Consider the following 21,248-nt stretch of genomic DNA (forward strand, 5'->3'; position numbering starts at 1 on the left):
CATTTAATTTGGGAGATGAATCACCCACAAACGGCATGTTTGTAAAGCTGTCAGTACCCTGACATAGTGGGAGCTCCATCATCAAGAGCTGGTATTATTATTATTTTATTATTTATAAAAAAAGCACATAACAGGCTGAGCATGGGGGCTCATGCCTGTAATCCCAGCGCTTTGGGAGGCCGAGGCAGGAGGATCATTTGAGGTCAGGAGTTTGAGACAGTCTGGCCAACATGGCAAAACACCGTCTATACTAAAAATACAAAAATTATCTGGGCATAGTGGTGGGTGCCTGTAATCCCCACTACTTAGGAGGCTGGGGCAGGAGAATCGCTTCAACTGGGAGGCGGAGGTTGCAGTGAGCCGTGATGGCACCTCTGCACTCCAGCCTGGGTGACACAGCGAGACTCTGTTTCACCAAAAAAAAAAAAAAAAAAAAAAAAAAAGCACATAACAAAGACCTAGGCAGTATAATACCAACAGTTAGAATATAAAGCTGTGTATAATAAGGGGCTAATTAGGAGTTAGAGACAAGTTTTAAATGAGAGCAATCTGAGTTTAAGCCACAGTTGAGTCTTGTTATTTTCAGTAGTTCTGTTCTACAAAGTTGTCAGAATCAATGAATTAGGGAATACTGAAGCTAATTGCTTCAGCAATTAAGCATTGCTCCTAGGGGAAATGCAGGGTTAGGTTCCTGTGATCCTCTGATTACAACATTTTTGTCAACTGATCAACTGATCAATTAATAACCTTGTTCTATGTGTATTTCTGTTTAAAAACACCATATTTAATATACATTGTAGATTCGTTAACATTGCACTCACAGCCAGCAGCACTGCAACTCATGTCTGGAGTTTATCGAACACATATTTTCCCTGTAAGGCACATTACAGCCTCCTTGTGCTCAGGATCATTAGATAGCACTTCTGCACTGTGCTTTGGGCTTCCTTTAAACAACAAAATCACCAAGAAAAGGACAAACATGCAAAAAACATGCCATTACATAGATCACAAAAAGGGTACTTGTTTATAATATGAGAGCTAAAACAAGAAGGCAATGTTGCCTTGTTTGACTTCAGCTAAGAACGTGCCATTGTGCACATTTCTGTGAATAACCTCAGAAGCATAGTGAGTATTGATTTTGGGGTTACAAATGAACGTTAGCTGCTAGGTGAATTCGCACATACTGAATCTGTGAATGATGAGGATCAACTGCAAAGTGTAAACCTGGAGGGATTCATAGAAGAGATGTGTTTTGAGTGAGGCCTTGAAGGATGAGTAAATGAAGATGGGAATGATGAGTGGGGACAGATGTCAGCCCCTAATGGGTTCTAGTCTCATCACACTCATACCTTCCTGATCACAGACCCTTTCTTCCTCTAGTATACTATCTTTGAAGCTGAATCCTTGAGCTTTACAATTTACTGCTTATTAAAGAAGGAGCTTAATAAACATAGGGAAGCATCTAATTTATAGATTAAATGATCATTAGGCCTCTCTTCATATCTAAGGAAAACTTCTTTTGTCTGTGAATAAAAAAAGTCTGAAAATTTTATGTTGGAGAGAGATATCAATTAAAAAACCAGAGTTCAACCTGCAACTAAATCTACAAATCAGGACAGATAATTGATATTATTTTGTTGTCAAACACCTACATTAGGGAGACTAGAGTTAGAAGACTGGGGGACAAACAAGGAGAGCCTTTTAACGTTCCCTACCTGCAATATTAGCTTATGATATTTTTGATTATCTTTATTAAGGGGAAAAAAACGACTTCCCCTTAATCCATAATTTAAACATTACTTCTCAAAAGTGATAAAAATAGCATGTAGGTATTAGTCAAAGATTTGTTTTTTCAAGATTTAGCTGAAAACCAAACTAAAACTTCCATGTGCTCCAATAAACCCAGTGTTTTTCATAGGTTGCTATTTCTAATCCCTGTTGCCATGGTTATGGACTTTACATCAGCAAAAAGGGGATGAGGTACTGAGTGATTTATACCCACTGTTTGATATTTTAAGTGCTTCACCACTGCTCTTTTCCTTTTCTGTAGAAAGTATATAAGGATGTTTTTCTGGTAGGGCTTTCAGACCTTCAGATAAAGGAGCTCTCGAAATACAACCCATAAGGAATAAAGCCATAGCCAGTGCTTCCCTGGTAAGTTTTGGGGGATGGAAGTGGCAGCAGTCATAAGAAAGCAAATCGAGAAGTAAGGGCAGTTGGCTGTTCTACTGAAAATGGTTTAATGGAAATGAGAGGTGATGAAGCATTTACAATATAACCTGCAATACAAGGTTGGCATAGAAAACATTTAAAAATTATAATTAAAATTAAACAGCTCAAGAATGACCTGTATTTTCTCTCTGTAGCATAATGCTTCCTTTGATAAATCTAAGAACCCCTGGATGTTCACTCAGTTGGAAAAATCAATGGTTTAGTTCCAATCACTTTGAAGAGAGGAAACTGGTGATTTGGATGGTTCCACTCCTGGTCCCGTGTTCTGTGGCTGTTATTACTGTTGCTTCACGTTAATGGAAATAATTCATTAACTGAAAGTCAGCTCTAAAAGGATCAATTACACACATGGCTCCTGCCCATTTTCTGTTACTCTTGGGCTAAGTTCTCCCGCTTCCTCATGGTCTGGAAGGCAGAAATCCCTTCTATCCATAATTGGCAGGTTTTATAGGTTGAAACCTATGGTTTCAGACAATGGAAATTTGCTCAAGAACTCAGGACTTTCAGTTGCCCAACTAGTGGCAAGTATTGTTACTTTAAAGTGTAGTTTATTCCAATTCTACTCTTTTAGTTATTTTAAAATATACAGTAAATTATTGTTAACTATGGTTGCCCTATTAAGCCACCGAACACTAGATCTTACTTCTCCTAACAACAACAAAAATATGATAAATGCTTGAAGTGATGGATACCCCAACTACTTCAATTTGATCATTATACATTATATCTTTTTATCTAAATATCATATGTACCCCATAAATATGTATAACTATTATGTATCCATAATAATCAAAAATTAAAAAATTTTTAAAAATGTAGTTTATACAAAGCTTATTAATAGTGGAGGCTCATATAAACCCATATAATTGATTTCAACTTTATAAAACACATTGTTTTTCAAACCGCTAGAAAGTATTACATGAATTCACTCTGTTAATCTGTGTTTAGGTGTTACGAGAAACTGGCCACAAGGTCAGTACTTTATAGAAGTTAACCTCTTTTCCTTTTCTTTCAAGCTGGTATTGGGGGTGGGAGACATTATTACAACTCCAGAATGTTTATGCAAAGGAAGAATGATTCAGACTGGCTGTAGACATTGTGCTAAGATTTATTCATCTTAATGAATAAATCCTTTCCTACTTTTGTTTTTCCAGTTCCTCAACTTTCACTTTTTTTTTCCCATGTGTTTCCCATTTCAAATGGAGAAAATGCTAGTACATTTTAACAAAATTCTTTGCAGTTGTCAAGGCTTAGTATATTAAGGAATTTATTCTATTTTTTAAAAGCCTGTATTCTTATAGCACTGGGTTCATAGTACTGATCAAGCATTTAAATAAGAACTTGAAAATTTTGTAATTCCAGCATGCTGGTGAATAACCATGCAATGAAAGGTAAAATGAAAAGCCTCAATTTAAAAAAGTGAGCTTCTGTTGCTGTGATTCAAATGTTTGCTTTAAAAGCACTTAAGATGTTCCTGCAGAATCTCTTGCTTTTTCTCTTTAACAAATCCTGCTTGCTCCTCCTACGTGAAAGGTTGATGTTTCCGCAAGAGTTCAAATACAATGGTGTGGTACAAGTTAGTACAGGCCTCATGGCTCTAAGTTCTTTTTGTGGTGGTAAGTGGGTGGAATATGTATCCAGTTTTTTAGTACAAAGAATTTTAAATGCTCTTAATATTTGAGTGTAAGAATTAAGGTAGTCACACACACTTCCTCATTCTCCTGAACATCCTCCTTTCTGGCTTTATGGCTCTTGGATAGGTGCCAAAAATGGAAGGTTGAGTGGAGACTGTTTTATCTCTTTTCAGCCTATGTTCTATCACAACTGCATTATAATTCAATTAATGTAAAATAAGACAAATAATTATATGATAGCCTTGTTATAACATATTCATCATGTAGAGCAATAGCATAATAGGGAACAGTTTTTAAATATAGTGCCTAGTCCAGTATCTATGTTATATCATATAATCATCACAGTAAGTGTAAAAGCAGTTTTTTTTAAAAAAATCCTCATTTAATAGATGAAGAAACTGAGTCTCACACTGCTAAAGCAACTTTTCCAAGGGCACAGAACTAATTATAAGAGAAACTTGAGATTGGGATCTGTTTACTTGAGCCCACACCATACCTGTAAAGGGGGGAAATTGCTGTAGGTGAAGTGTTGTGGTATTGATGTCCTCATTGTAATTAAACGGAAAATACTTTGGGAAGAGCTCCAATATTAATCTGTTCCATTTCACATTTTTTATTCCGGAGAAAGAGTGTTTGGTCTCCAAGGATCAATTGAATCAAGAAATGTTCTTAATTCTGAAATGTAACCTTATGTTCTCTTATGCAACAATTTTTCCAATCCAGGCTTCTATTAATTCCAGACCTATGAATCCACTAGTTGATAAATCCACTCAAACTCAATACAAGTAGGATGCAGAATGCAGTGGTTGAGGGACTGTGCACTTACTAACTGTGTGACTGAGCAACTTACTTAACTCCCTGGGACCCTAAGTAAACTAGGGAATGTATAGAATCTATCTCACATACTTGCTACGATCTATCAATCAGCTTATTTATCTATCTATCTTACTTACCGTTGATATATCCATTGCACCTAGAACAGTGCCAGGAACAGAGCCATTGCTATATATTATCATCAATTAAATGTCCTTGTGGCTTTTCCCTCAATGGTAGACCTTTTCATGTGTTCCTTGTATGAACTGCACCAGCATGCAATTGCCTAGTAGTCCAAGCCAGGGGACTGGGCATCAGCTTTTATTCCTTTTCCTCCTTCACTCCTATGTCCACTTGATTACCAAGTCCCGTTGATTTTAGCTTTAAGTATTTCTTGAACCGGCTACTTCTCTACATCTCCACTGTCACCCCTCTAGTTGTAGATACAATCTCTTTATCTTGATTACTTAAACATCCTTCCTGATGGTCTCTTCCCTTCAATTTTCCCCCACTCCCAATTGTATCTATCCCCCTCACTGTAGTCAGGGTGTTTGAAAAATATGTCAGACTGTGTTCTTCCTTAGCTTTTAAGGTTTCCTGTTATTTCTTGAGGTATATCCTAAAACTTTAATAAAGTCCTACTGATGGATGGACTAGTTTCCCAGAGTTGTCTCTTACCAACTCTTTACTCTCGGAGCTCTAGTCATAAGGCTCTTCTTTTTTTTCTCCTTTGTTTCAAGTTTTAATCAAAGCTTGTATATAAGATTATTCCTCCATCTTCTCAATTGTTTCTTCCTTGTATTTGCCCTTTTCCTTTCCTACTTGGCGAGATTTGGCTTTCCGTTCAAGGATCTTTTTGCTGTCTTTGTCCAGTTTTAGCCTAGTGATAACCACCTTGCTGGAGTGAATGCCTATGTGGACAGTTGTGCCATTAGCCTTTTCCCGCTGCACCCATTCAATGTAGATAACATATTTCTTCCTGTAAACCTGGACCACTTTGCCAATTTGCTGACCTTCGTAGTGTCCTCGTACAACCTGAACTTCATCGTCCTTTCGGATGGGCATGGATCGCTCGTTGTACTTCTGTCTCAGCTCTTTGGAAAGAAGGGAAGACATAATCTTCCTTCGAATGTGGGAAGGTGCGTTGAAATGCCTTTTGCGATTCTTGCTTCGGTCGGAAGTCACAAAGGGATTAAACTTCATTTTGGCCGCTCCCGCTTCGGTGATCGATCTTCTTTTCTTTTCTTGCAGGCTTCACATTCCTTTTGACTGTGGCATCTTCTCACTTGCTGTCCCTATGCCAGAATGTTGTCCCTTCTCTTCCCATAGTTAATTCTTATGAATTCTTCAACAGTCAGCTCAAATATCACTTTCTTGACCCCATGGCTAAATTGGATCTGTTATATATTCAAATCACTCTACTTCTCTTTCATAGCACTCATTTAAAATGTAATTGAATAATTAGTTATGTTGTGTGTTAGAATGCAGGTTCCATAAAAGCTGTCCTGTCACTGCTGTATACGTACCACCTAGCAGAGTGCCTTGCACATAGTTGGCATTCAATATTTATTGCATGACTTTCTCCATTTAGGAACATAGTAATAGCTGAATAATATGGAAATACCGCTAGTATTATTCTAAAAATGCCTATACCTTTGCAAACATTCACACAACTATTTGAAAAAGAAAAATGGGCCTGTAATGATGTAATTGTTTTTAAGATAATATATTCTAGACACCTGAGAACTGATAACTTTTGCCTTGTTTCTGAAGATTCATCAGTACTTTTTAAAATGTGATTGATCTTTTGTGGCCAGGGGTCAAAATATAATTTATTTCATACAGAAAATAACTTGATCTTTTCCCTGTTGACTTAATCCCAACACCTACAGAAGTTGGGCTGAAAAGATCAGAATTCCCAATATTCATTTCTATTTTAACCTGAAGATGATTAATGAAGCATGAAGGTGTTAAGCCATGTGCTAGATGCTGTAAGGGATTCAGTGAGGTATGAGGCAAGGAACCTACTCTGAAAGCAGCTTACAAGCTAGTACAGGAGATAGGAGTACTTTGGGATTTGAATACCCAAAATGCAGTAGACTTGTGATGGGGCCAGGATCCAGTGAGAAACATCCCAATCTCACATCTCTCCCATATCCAGATTGCTGGGAAGATTGAATGCTTAGAAAAGCCACATACCTCAAGCTTTTCCATTTCTCAACCCTTATTGCTCATTAGAATCACTGGGGGAGCTTTAAAAAATGGATACTTAGGCCCTGCCTCAGACGAATTAAATTGCCAAGAGAGGCGTGTTCTTTCCTGTGTATGGTAGCAAGCACTTACCTAACTTGGGGAAGGACCCAACTCACTTAGCTAGCTAGTGCCAAGGATACACTTAATAATTGAGTGGATACAGTGCCTTAGTTCGTCATTGTCTTCCTTATTTTCTCAAGAAGGCATACGTTGGAGGGGTGAGAGCATGTCAGGGGGGTGAGAGCAGTGTTGTAGGGGTGGGAGAGAGCTGCCTAGTTGGGCACAGTTTAAGTGCAAGGCATTATTGTAGGTATCTATAGATTGTCACACAAAAGATTTAGTAAGGATTGTGTATCATCAATCTTTTAAAGAAATCTGGTAAATTCATAATTTTTATTATGAACCAAAACATACTCGAAAATAAAAACTGGCCTGGCACGGTGGCTCATGCCTGTAATCACAGCACTTTGGAAGGCTGAGCCGGGCAGATCACCTGAGTTCGGGAGTTCGACACCTGCCTGACCAACATGAAGAAACCCTGTCTCTACTAAAAATTCAACAGATTAGCCAGACGTGGTGGTGCATGCCTGTAATCCCAGCTACTTGGGAGGCTGAGGCAGGAGAATCGCTTGAACCAGGGAGGTGGGGGTTGCAGTGAGCCGAGATTGCACCATTGCACTCTGCACTCCAGCCTGGGCAACAAGAGCAAAACTCCGTCTCAAAAACAAAACAAACGAACAAAACTGAAATTAAGAAAGTATGCTGAGAAAAAAAAACATGACTAAATTAGCAATTTCCTATCTTTGGGTAAAATTCATTTAAAACTATTCTAAGAACATAAACAATAGCAGTAAGTGTGAGTTTAAAACATATGTGGAGAAAAAGTCGCATCAAAATAAATTCAGTCATCACTCAATTATAAAATGGTATGGGTAGAAGGGAACCTATGGTTCATTCTTTATTTTAAAATTAAGGCCCAAAGAAGTTAGATTGCCTGCCTAAGGTCACACAGCTAGCTATTTTGAGAAAGTTTCTCATATCCTAGCTACATTTCTGAAATAAAAGGAAATAGTAATATCAATTTAGAAGATGTTATTTCAGGATAACCTGCAGATTTTTATCTTTGTACCATATATTATTATTGTTCTTGGGCAGTATCTAAATTGTTCTAATTAAGACCCTTTTCACCTGAAGAGTGAAAATTATTGATGCTTTTAGCCCAGTCTATATAAATGTTTAAATATATATCAAGAATTATAAGTATCATGAACCTTAATGTTAATACAATAACATTTTTCCTCTCTGCTTCCCAACTCTTGCCTTTCCCCATCATACTCCCCTTTACCCATTCAGACTTTTTGATTTTGGATAAGAAGTGGTAAATTGGTATCCCCGGCATGACTACATTTAAATAACTATATCTGAAGATTGTTTTATGGAAAAGTTTACAAAGCACTGGAACTTTGCTGTCAATACCTGACAGTGTACCCACTGGAAATCATCAAAGGCTTCATTCCAACAGATACTGGGAAAAAACATCAACCATTTACGGATAAAAACGTTTCCATAAAAACATGAGCAAACTATTTTTTGGATCTGTTCAGATTTAATTGTGAGACCAAATGTCATATGACATCACTAAAAACAAAAAGGAATAATTCCAAGATCTACAAGGATGAGTGGGCACAAATCACAACTGCTGCAGTATATCCACTAAAACATTTGTTGACTCCAAAGCCATTGTGCCCCATTTGGATATTATACTCAGATGTTACCATTTGGTATTTGTGCGTGGACACATTTATGCATGAAATGATGAAGGAAGATTCGTCAGCTCTTAGCAGATTTATCTTCTCTTGAAATCATTTTTTCCTGCCTTCATTTGGGAGAGGGTGGCTTTCACACTACCAGAAACTACCTCATGCTGATGCTGTTATATTTCAGTCTTCACAGACTATGTCCAGGGTCCCAAGTCACTAGACTGGTAATCTGTTTTAGGGTTATTTCTCAATGGTTTGACAATCACCTGTGTATTTGTTTTATCTCTCCAGAGATTGAATGTCCACTTTTCTTCTTTCCTGTTCCTCTTTTTTTCTTGATATATTTTTTGGTAATTCCTTTTCTGTTCTTCTCCATATGTTTCCTAAACTGATTATTAGATTTTCAGGCAACTGGCACATATTATAACAGGAGTTGAAGACTTTTGCAGCCATCTCATGAAACATACGCACACACATACACAAGTGTGTGCACATGCACACAATCCTATATCCTTTGCCTTACTAGTACTCGTAATGTATGATTCTCTGGATTGCATTCTTCCATCTTTTATAACTGCTTCAGCTATATTTAATTAATCATACTGTATAGAAAGCAATGCAACAGTGGCCATTAAATTCTTTTATTTGTTATGCCTATCCTACTTAGTTTTATCAATTCAGCAGTGAAATGCATGACAATATTTATTAGTACTATGTTTTTTTCTTTTTTTTTTAAATTAGTACTATGTTTTTGAAGCATTTTTTTTTACTTTGGTTAATTTGCTAAAAATTTTAATGAATTACCAATTTGACAAATTTACAAAGAGTTTACATGTACCAAAAATGTGTGTCTTCTAACCATTTATAAATTTTATAGTAATTTATATTGAATAGAATGATTTATCATCTGCCTGATATTGACTGGGCTTGCTCAGGTGTCTAGGATCAGCTGGCAAATTAGTTGTAAACTGACTGGCCTAGAATGGCTATATTAGTTTCCTATTTCTGCTGTAACAAATTATCTCACACTTCATGAAATGTTATTCAAAGAGTTAAAAGCAACAAGCCTTTTGGAACTTAAATTTACAAGCAAAAAGCAACCCCATTAAAAGGTGGGCAAAGGACATAACGGACATTTTTCAAAAGAAGGCATACATGTGGCTAACAAGCATATGAAAAAATGCTCAACATGACTAATCATTAGAGAAATGCAAATCAAAACCACAATGGGATACCATCTCACATCAGTCAGAATTTTTGGCTATTATTAAAGTGAAAAAATTAAAGTGAAAAAGTGAAAAAATGACAGATGCTAGTGAGGTTGCGGAGAAGAGGAAATGCTTATACACTGCTGGTGGGGATGTAAATTAGTTTAGCCATTGTAGAAAGCAGTGTGGTGGTTTCTCAAAGAACTTAAAACAGAATTACCGTTCGACCTAGCAAGCCCCTTATTGGGTATACACCCGAAAGAATATGAATCATTCTACCATAAAGACACATGTACACATACGTTCATTGCAGCGCTGTTTACAAAAACAAAGACATGGAATCAACCTAAAGGCCCATCAGTGGTAGACTAGATAAAGAAAATATGATACATATACACCATGGAATACTACATAGCCATAAAAGAGGAAGATCATGACCTTTGCAGCAACATGATGGAGCTGGAGGCCATTATCCCAAGTAAACTAATGCAGGAACAGAAAACCAAATACCACATGTTCTCATTTATAAATGGGAGCTAAGTAACAAGAATACATGGACACGAAGAGGGAAATAACAGACACTGGGGCCTATTTGAGAGTGGAGGGTGGGAGGAGGGACAGGATCAAAAAACTATCTATTGGGTACTATGTTTATTACCCACATGATGAAATGATCTGTACACCAAACCCCATGACACGCAGTTTACCTATTTAACAAACCTGCACATGTACCCCAAAACTAAAATAAAAGTTAAAAAGAAATAAGACTTTTGTAAGTTGCTAATATCAGGAAGTTGGCAAATAGATTTATTTTTACATTTAGTCATTAATCTAATTGATTTTCTGTGAACTGGCTTTAGAACATTGGATTTTTGTCATATTGACTTGCTTCCTTTTCAAATGGATTATGTCATTTGAATTTTGCAGTAATTCTGATTAATTATTCTGTTATAATATAATTGTTATAATTATAACAATTATAATTCTGAATAATTGTTCTTTCTGTAGTGGTAAGTGGGTGGAATACATTTCTAGTTTTTTTATTTTTAAACACAAACGATGCTAAGCACTTGAATCATATCAAGAGGCATTTGTCCCAAATTGGTGACGTGAAATTTGATTAGTTGGCTAAAGTGACACTTGCTAGATATTTTTCATTGTTACTTTTTTTTCTCTTTGCAATTTATGGCAATCTATGTGGGAGATACTTTGAGAATGTGTCAGTATCCTGTATCTTAAATTTTCACCCAATGCTTTTAGCATCCATTGATGACTTTTGCTTGAATCAATTATTAAATTGGTGGTTTTCTAATTCTAACATTTGTTAGCTGACATTCTTCTATAAAGACGTTCTCCCCCACCTCCTTTCTTTAGTAACACTCTGGACACATGTATTTAAAAAAATATATATATATACACGTATATATATATATATGTATATATATATATGTATATATATATGTGTATATATATGTATATATATTGTATATATATGTGTATATATATGTGTATATATATGTGTATATATGTGTATATATATGTGTATATATATGTGTATATATATGTGTATATATATATGTGTGTGTATATATATATATATATACACACACACATATATAATTTACGGTTATCATTATTCTTTGCTCAAATTATTCCAGATTTGGCTTTAAGACAGCTCTTATATCTTTCTGACTCGTCTCCAGTCTTTAACCTCTTTTCTCTTTTATGACACATGGAAAAAATATGCTCTAGGTTCATCTTGTGCTTCTTATGCCCCAACTTTAGAATCATTAATTTCTTTAAGAAGACTGAGTATGGAATGATATTTAGAAACAAAAATCTGAAACTAAATGTTTTTATTGCTATGAAGCTATTGTTACTTCCAGGCCCTTGCTAAGGTCAGAGCTCAAAATGTATCACAATAAAATATGAGTTTGTATTGACATGAATTCTATTTTAAATCAAACAACACAGGGTTCTTTCTCTATTTGTTATTGTATCTTCTTTTTCATTCGGGGAGAAATGTGGTTTCCCAAACATTAATATCTTTACTCATTTACTTTATCATGCCATTTGAAACTCATAGTATCTTATTTTACTTTGTCTCTGAGTTATGTTGTATCTATGCATTGCCAGAAATTTTCTCTGCCATTGTTGTTGATCCATGTGATTTGTTTGAAGGATATTTATACGGGTTTGGATGAAAGAGGATTTCATTATTTAGGGGGGACACAGAACACTTTAACACTAGCTTTCAAAGCTTTTAGAGCTCAAAGGGATCCATGTCTCTTCAATTTATTTCATTATTGGCCAGAGTAACACCTGATTGGCCAGATCCAATATCAAAGGATGAGAGAAGTGCAAATGTACCACATGCCTAGAAGGATAACTGGAATAGCACTGATGACTGATGACCACCACATTAGTCTTTATTCTTTTTTTTCTTTTAGATATGAAAGTGAATATGTATTTAGAATAAGAAAAGAAATTACAACAAAATATAAAATTTTTTTAAAGCTGACAATTATCACAAACATCACAAAATCTAGTAAATTCCCTTACACACTCTTATAATACTTAAATTTTTTAAATTATACCTTAAGTTCTGGGATACATGTGCAGAACATGCAGGTTTGTTACATAGGTATACATGTGCAATGGTAGTTTGCTGCACCCATCAACCTGTCATCTACATTAGTTTTTTTTTCTTTCTTTCTTTTTTTTTTTTTTTTTTTGAGACGGAGTCTCACTCTGTGCCCAGGCTGGAGTGCAGTGGCACCATCTCGGCTCACTACAAGCTTCGTCTCCCAGGTTCACGCCATTCTCCTGCCTCAGCCTCCCGAGTAGCTGGGACTACAGGCGCCCGCCACCACACCCGGCTAATTTTTTGTATTTTTAGTCGAGATGGGGTTTCACCGTGTTAGCCAGGATGGTCTCGATCTCCTGACCTCAGGCTCCGCCTGCCTTGGCCTCCCAAAGTGCTGGGATTACGGGTGTCAGCCACTGCATCCAGCCTACATTAGGTATTTCTCCTAATGCTATCCCTCCCCTTGCTCCCCATCACCTGAAAGGCCCCGGTGTGTGATGTTCTCCTCCCTGTGCCCATGTGTTCTCATTTTCGACACCCACTTATGAGTGAGAACATGCGGTTTTTGGTTTTCTGTTCCTGTGTTAGTTTGCTGAGAATGATGGTTTCCAGCTTCATCCATGTCCCTGCAAAGGACATGAATTCATTCTTTTTTATGGCTGCATAGTATTCCATGGTGTATTTGTGCCACATTTTCTTTATCCAGTCTATCATTGATGGACATTTGGGTTAGTTCCAAGTCTCTGCTATTGTGAATAGTGCTGTGATAAACATACGTGTGCATGTGTCTTTATAGTAGAATGATTTATAATCCTTTGGGTATATCCCCAGTAATGGGATTGCTGGGTCAAATGGTATTTCTAGTTCTAGATCTTTGAGGAATCGCCACACTGTCTTCCACAATGGTTGAACTAATTTACACTCCCACCAACAGTGTAAAAGTGTTCCTATTTCTCCACATCCTCTCCAGCATCTGTTTCCAGGCTTTTTAATGATTGCCATTCTAACTGGTGTGAAATGATATCTCATTGTGGTTTTAATTTACATTTCTCTAATGACCAGTGATGATGAGCTTTTTTTCATACGTTTGTTGGCTGCATGGCTGCATAAATGTGTGCTTTTGAGAAGTGTCTCTTCATATCCTTTGCCCACTATTTGATGGGGTTATTTTTCTTGTAAATTTGTTTAAGTTCCTTGTGGATTCTGGTTATTAGACTTTTGTCAGATGGATAGATTGCAAAAATTTTCTCGCATTCTGTAGGTTGCCTGTTCACTCCAATGATAGTTTCTTTTGCAGAAGCTCTCTAGTTTAATTAGATCCCATTTGTCAATCTTGGCTCTTGTTGCCATTGCTTTTGGTGTTTTAGTCATGAAGTCTTTGCCCATGCCTGTATCCTGAATGGTATTGCTTAGGTTTTCTTCTAAAGTTTTTATGGTTTTAGGTCTTACATTTAAATCTTTTTTCTGGCTTGAGTTGATTTTTGTATAAGGTGTAAGGAAGGGGTCCAGTTTCAGTTTTCTGCATATGGCTGGCTAGTTTTCCCAACACCATTTATTAAATAGAGAATCCTTTCCCCATTGCTTGTTTTTGTCAGGTTTGTCAAAGATCAGATGGATGTAGATGTGTGGTGTTATTTGTGAGGCCTCTGTTCTGTTCCATTGGTCTATATATCTGTTTTGGTATCAGTACTATGCTGTTTTGGTTACTGCAGCCTTGTAGTGTAGTTTGAAGTCAGGTAGCGTGATGCCTCCAGCTTTGTTCTTTTTGCTTAGGATTGTCTTGGCTATACAGGCTGTTTTTTGGTTCCATATGAAATTTAAGTAGTTGCTTCTAATTCTGTGAAGATAGTCAATGGTAGCTTGATGGAGATAACATTGAATCTATAAATTACTCTGGGCAGTATGGCCATTTTCACTATATTGATTCTTTCTATCCATGAGCATGGAATGTTTTTCCATTTGTTTGTGTCCTCTCTTATTTCCTTGAGCAGTGGTTTGTAGTTCTCCTTGAAGAGGTCCTTCACATCCCTTGTAAGTTGTATTCCTAGTTATTTTATTCTCTATGTAGCAATTGTGAATGGGAGTTTGCTCATTATTTGGCTCTCTGTTTGTCTATAATTGGTGTATAGGAATGCTTGTGATTTTTGCACATTGATTTTGTATTCTGAGACTTTACTAAAGTTCCTTATCAGTTTAAGGAGTTTTGGGGCTGAGACTATGGGATTTTCTAAATATACAATCATGTCATCTAAAACAGAGGTAATTTGATGTCATCTCTTCCTATTTGAATACCTTTTATTTTCTGTTGCCTGATTGCCCTAGCCAGAACTTCCAGTACTATGTGAAATAGAAGTTGTGAGAGAGGGCATTCTTGTCTTGTGCCAGTTTTCAAACAGAATGCTTCCAGCTTTTGCCCATTCGGTATGGTATTGGCTGTGGGTTTGTCATAAAGAGCTTTTATTATGTTCAGATGTCTTCCATCAATAGCTAGTTTATTGAGTGTTTTTAGCATGAAGGGGTGTTGAATTTTATTGAAGGCCTTTTCTGCATCTATCGAGATAATCATGTGGTTTTTATCATTGTTTCTGTTTATGTGATGGATTACGTTTATTGATTTGTGCATGTTGAACCAGCCTTGTATCCCAGGGGTGAAGCCAACTTTATTGTGGTGGATAAGCTTTTTGATGTGTTGCTGGATTCAGTTTGCCAGTATTTTATTGAGGATTTTTGCACTGATGTTCATTAGGGATATTTGCCTGAAATTTTCTTTCTTTTTTTTTTTTTTGTTGTGTCTCTGCCAGGCTTTGGTATCAGGATGATGCTGGCCTCATAACATGAGTTATGGAGGATTTCCTCTTTTTCTATTGTTTGGAATAGTTTCAGAAGGAATGGTACCAGCTCCTCTTTGGACCTCTGGTGGAATTCAGCTGTGAATCTGTCTGGTCCTGGACTTTTTTTGGTTGGTAGGCTATTAATTACTGTCTCAATTTCAGAACTTGTTATTGGTCTATTCAGGGATTTGACTTCTTCCTGGTTTAGTCTTGGGAAGGTGTATGTGTCAGGAATTTATCCACTTCTTGTAGATTTTCCAGTTTATTTGTGTAGAGGTGTCTATAGTATTCCCTGATGGTAGTTTGTATTTCTGTGGGATCAGAGGTGATCTCCCCTTTATCATTTTTTATTGTGTCTATTTGATTCTTCTTTCTTTCTTTATTAGTCTGGCTAGTGGTCTATGTATTTTGTTAATCTTTTCAAAAAACCATCTCTGGGATTCGATTGATTTTTTTGAAGGGTTTTCATGTCTCTATCTCCTTCAGTTCTGCTCTGATTTTAGTTATTTCTTGTCTTCTTCTAGCTTTTGAATTTGTTTGCTCTTGCTTCTTTAGTTCTTTTAATTATGATGTTAGGGTGTCAATTTTAGATCTTTCCTGCTTTCTCCTGTGGGCATTTAGTGCTATAAATTTCCCTCTAAACACTGCTTTAGCTGTGTTCCAGAGATTCTGGTACGTTGTGTCTTTTTTCTCATTGGTTTCAAGTAACTTATTTATTTCTGCCTTAATTTCATTATTTACCCAGTAGTCATTCAGAAACAGGTTGTTCAGTTTCCATGTAATTGTGTGGTTTTGATTGAGTTTCTTAATCCTGAGTTCTAATTTGATTGCACTGTGGTCTGAGAGACTGTTATGATTTCATAGATGTCTATTAGGTTGTTTTGTCCAGAGCTGAGTTCAAGTCCTGAATATCCTTGTTAATTTTTTGTCTCACTGATCTAATATTGACAGTGTGGGAGTACTATTATTGTGTGGGAGTCTAAGTCTCTTTGTAGGTCTCTAAGAACTTGCTTTATGAATCTGGGTGCTCCTGTATTGGGTGCATATATATATTTAGGATAGTTAGCTCTTCTTGTTGCATTGATTCCTTTACCACAATGTGATGCCCTTTGCCTTTTTTCATCTTTTTTGGTTTAAAGTCTGTTTTATGAGACTAGGATTGCAACACCTGCTTTTTTTTTCCTTTCACTTTCTTGGTAAATCTTCCTCCATCTGTTTATTTTGAGCCTATGTGTGTCTTTGCACGTGAGATGGGTCTCCTGAATACAGCACACCGATGGGTCTTGACTCTTTATCCAATTTGCCAGTCTATGTCTTTTAATTGGGGAATTTACCCATTTACCTTTAATTTTAATATTGTTATGTGTGAATTTGATCCTGTGATTATGATGTTAGCTGGTTATTGTGCCCGTTAGTTGATGTAGTTTCTTCATAGTGTCAATGGCCTTTACATTTTGGTTTGTTTTTGCAGTGGCTGGTACCAGTTTTTCCTTTCCATATTTAGTGCTTCCTTCAGGAGCTCTTGTTAGGCAGGTCTGGTGGTGACAAAATCCCTCAGCATTTGCTTGTCTGTAAAGGATTTTATTTCTTCTTCTCTTATGAAGCTTAGTTTGGCTGGATATGAAATTCTGGGTTGAAAATTCTTTTCTTTAAGAACGTTGCATATTAGCCCCTACACTTTTCTGGCTTGTAGGGTTTCTGCCAAGAGATCTGCATTAGTCTGATGGGCTTCCCTTTGTGGGTAACCTGACCTTTCTCTCTGGCTGCCCTTAACGTTTTTTTCCACCATTTCAACCTTGGTGAATCTGACAATTATGTGTCCTGGGGTTGCTCTTCTCGAGGAGTGTCTTTGTGGTGTTCTCTGTATTTCCTGAATTTGAGTGTTGGCTGGTATTGCTAGGTTGGGGAAGTTCTCCTGGATAATATCCTGAAGTGTGTTTTTTCAACTTGGTTCCATTCTCCCCATCACTTTCATGTATACCAATCAAATGTAGGTTTGGTCTTTTCACGTAGTCCCATATTTGTTGGAGGCTTTGTTTGTTCCTTTTCATTTTTTTTTCTCTAATCTTGTCTTTACACTTTATTTCATTAAGTTGATCTTCAATCTCTTATATCCTTTCTTCTGCTTGATCAATTCAGCTATTGATACTTGTGTATACTTCATGAAGTTCTTGTGCTGTGTTTTTCAGCTCCATCAGGTCATTTATGTTCTTCTCTAAAGTTAGTAATTCCTCTAACCTTTTATCAAGGTTCTTAGCTTCCTTGCATTGGGTTAGAACATGCAAGCTCAGAGAAGTTTATGACCCACCTTCTGAAGGCTACTTCTGTCAATTCGTCAAACTCATTCTCTGTCCAGTTTTGTTCCCTTGATGGTGAGGAGTTGTTATCCTTTGGAGAAGAGGCATTCTGGTTTTTGTAATTTTCAGCCTTTTTGCCCTGGTTTTTCCTCATCTTCGTGGTTTTATCTACCTTTGGTCTTTGCTCTTGGTGAACTTTGGATGGAGTTTTTGTGTGGTCTTCCTTTTTGTTGATGTTGATGCTATTGCTTTCTCTTTGTAATTTTTCCTTCTAACAGTCAGGTCCCTCTTCTGCAGGTCTGCTGGAGTTTGCTGGAGGTCCACACCAGACCCTGTTTGCCTGGGTATCACCCGCTGAGGCTGCATAACAGCAAAGATTGCTCTCTCCTCTTTCCTCTGCTTCCTCTGGAGCAGAGGAAGTGTCTGGGAAGTGTCTCCCCATCAGTAGGCATGGGGGTCAGGGACCCACTTAAGGAGGCAGTCTGTCCCTTAGCAGAGCTCAAGCACTGTGCTGGGAAATCCATTGCTCTCTCCAGAGCCAGCAGTCAAGAACATTTAAGTCTGCTGAAGCTGTTCCTACAGCCGTTGCTTCCCCCCAGGTGCTCTGTCCCAGGGAGATGGGAGTTTTATGTATAAACCCCTGACTGGGGCTGCTGCCTTTCTTTTTCAGAGATGCCCTTCCCAGAGAAAAGGAATCTAGAGAGGCAATCTATCTACCGGGCCTTTGCTGAGCAGTGGTGGGCTCTGCCCAGTTTGAACTTCCTGGTGGCTTTGTTTACACTGTGAGGGGAAAACTGCCTACTCAAGCCTCAGTAATGGTGGACACCCCTCCCCCCACCAAGCTTCAGTGTCCCAAGTTGACTTCAGACTGCTGTGCTGGCAGCGAGAATTTCAAGCCAGTGGATCTTAGCTTCCTGGGCTCTGTGGGACTGGGATTTGACGAGAAGACCACTTGGTTCCCTGGCTTCTGCCCCCTTTCCAGGGGAGTGAATGGTTCTGTCTTGCTGGCATTACAGGTGCCACTGGGATGTGCAAAGAAACTCCTGCAGCTAGCTCGGTATCTGCCCAAATGGCCGCCCAGTTTTGTGCTTGAAACCCAAGGCCTTGGTGGTGTAGGCACCTGAGGGAATCTCCTGGTCTGTGGGTTACGAAGACTGTGGGAGAGGTGTAGTATCTGGGCCGGATAGCACCATCCCTCATGGCACAGTCCCTCACAGTTTCCCTTGGATAGGGGAGAGAGTTCCCCGACCCCTTGTACTTCCCAGGTGAGGTCGTGCCCCATCCTGCTTCTGCTTGCCCTCTGTGGGCTGCATCCACTGTCTAACAAGTCCCAGTGAGATGAACTGGGTACCTCAGTTGGAAATGCAGAAATCACCTGCCTTCTACATTGGTATCCCTGGGAACTGCATATAGGAGCTGTTCCTATTTAGCCATCTTGCCCCAGTCATCCACTGCATTAATCTTAATGACCAATGATGCTTATACAATTTACAACCAACCTTTGTTGAGGCTTTAATCACTCTCTTAGTCTAGGTCCCCCAGAAAACAAAAAGTGAGGCAAAAGCTTAGATGAAATTTTTTATTAGGGAATGCAATCCCAGGAAAGCTGGTGTGGGTAAAAGGAGAATGAGACGAGGAAGAAAGGAAAGCCAAATGAGGATATATTCTGAGTGAATCTTTTACCACCTGGTATCAAATGCAACTGATTACTCACTCTTAATCCTCTCCTTCCAAGAGAACATATTAAACTACCACATCTCTGGATGGCCCATCTTGGGAAAAAGAATTTATCAATGAACTCTCATCTGTCATTGCTCAAATAATTCCATAAAGTGTGTCAGCTTCCCTGAACTTTGGTTTTGTTTTCCTTGTGCTTCTGTACACTGTGAGCAAGTGAGGTGGGGCTCTATGCTCCAGTGGCAACAGGAAAGCCATAGGACAGGAGATGCAAGGTGATCCATTGGCATGAAGTCTGTGCTGTTGGGAAAGCCTACTGGAGCCCATATGGAGTTGGTCATCAAAGTGAAGATTCAACTGTCTCAATTGGATAATGGCTCAAGAGACAAATGGGGCCTGGAGTATCAGGGGTGTCATGTAAGTTATATCTGACATAATCACTTTTACCTTTGAATCTTAGTTACCATGTTAACTACCATCTATAAAATAGAGGCGATAAGCTATCTCTGGGTGACTTAAAAAAATATATATATATAAAATGGAACTCATCGTGTTCTTTAAAACAAGACTTTTTTTATTAATGTCATTAATTATTTTTCCATTAATGGCAGTAATTATTCAATTCATTTAAGTTAGAGACCTTGTAGTAAACTTTGACTCCTATTTCTTACTCTGCAATCACAGTCAGAAGCCTAGACATGTAGAACCTAGCTCCACAATGCCCCTTGAATCTTCTAACTCATTTCTTTCCCATTACCATCACGTTAACTCAGGCTTTGAGTACATTTTGCCTGAAATAGCCACCTGATGTTTTCCGTACCTCCTGCCTCTCCTTTCTCTTGCCAGAATAATCTCCTTAAAGCATCTGATCCTATTTTTTCTTCTTCAAAACATCATTCACTTCCAAGAGTCCATTAAATTAAATCCAACCTTCATTATGTACGACCTAGAAGAATCCTCAAATCAATTAAACCTGCCTTTTCTACCTAGTTCTGTTTTGTTAGCATCCGTATACCTAATTGCAGCCAAACTGGATTTCACAGGTTTCCTTGGATACAAGCTTTGCTTTCTTAACTTTATTTCTTGTTCATATTTTCCTGCAATCTTAAAATGCCCTTCCTGCTACTGCTTTTTTCTTCTTCAAAAGCACATCTTAAAATGCCCTTCCTGCACATGCTTCCTTATCAAAAACACATATTCTCCTTTCTTCAAAGCACATCTTTAAAACTATCTCCTTCAGGAAGCCTGGACTGTCCCATCACGCCTGTTGTCTCATCACTGCCAGTGATGAGTCTCTTGCCTGGGTGTCTTCACTTCTAATGTAGACTATTTTTTACCTTCCCTTAAAGAGGTGGGGGATCATGCAGCTTCTCTATTCTCAGAACTATAGGAACACCCCAAGTCACTGTCTAATTTAGGAGATTGGCCCAAGGCAGGGAAGAGGTGAGTTTGGCAGCCTCTGATGAGGGAAATTGGAGGAAATTATGCTGCCAAGATAACCATGTTTTGTGCTCCTAGATTGAGCTCTTTGATCATACAAATCTATGGAAAGGTCTTTCTCTGCTGCCATCGGCTGTGAAGCGTGCCTGAGATAGATGCTGGCTGATTTTGCAATGATGGGTAAACTACATTATTTGCTGATTTGGATGATCTCACAGCGCTAGGAGGGGGATAGAAGGAGTGTAACGTTTTCTTCCCAACCCCGATGGCTTAGGAAGGTGAAGTGGACCCTGACTCTCATGTGCCCAAAGTGTTTACTTGTAAATGAGCTCTAAATTCAATATACTTACAAAATGTAGTAAACAAGAGCTCAATCAGTAAATCTCTACCAGTCATTTGACATAATTATCCTCTAGAGTAATGTGAAATATGGTTTAATTGACACCATTTCAAACAGCATTTGCTTTATTTGGGTGGAGTTTTTTTCCTACTAATAACAGAGTTGGAGAAAAATGA

At 37.9% G+C, this 21,248-nt stretch overlaps 1 protein-coding gene and 1 pseudogene across 3 annotated transcripts in view; one reads left to right on the top strand and one right to left on the bottom strand.

Annotated features, from left to right (window-relative positions):
* The window catches only part of OTOGL (otogelin like), a 281,344-nt gene continuing 262,181 nt past the window's right edge, over positions 2,086–21,248 (top strand). For all 3 annotated transcript variants that reach the window (NM_001368062.3, NM_001378610.3, NM_001378609.3), the window contains exon 1: positions 2,086–2,154. The gene's annotated coding sequence lies outside the window, so the exon portion shown is untranslated. The remainder of the gene's footprint in view (positions 2,155–21,248) is intronic.
* Positions 5,408–5,906, bottom strand: RPL26P32 (ribosomal protein L26 pseudogene 32; annotated as a pseudogene).

Source organism: Homo sapiens, chromosome 12 (genome assembly GCF_000001405.40).
Source record: "Homo sapiens chromosome 12, GRCh38.p14 Primary Assembly".
Classification (NCBI taxonomy): Eukaryota; Metazoa; Chordata; class Mammalia; order Primates; family Hominidae; genus Homo; species Homo sapiens.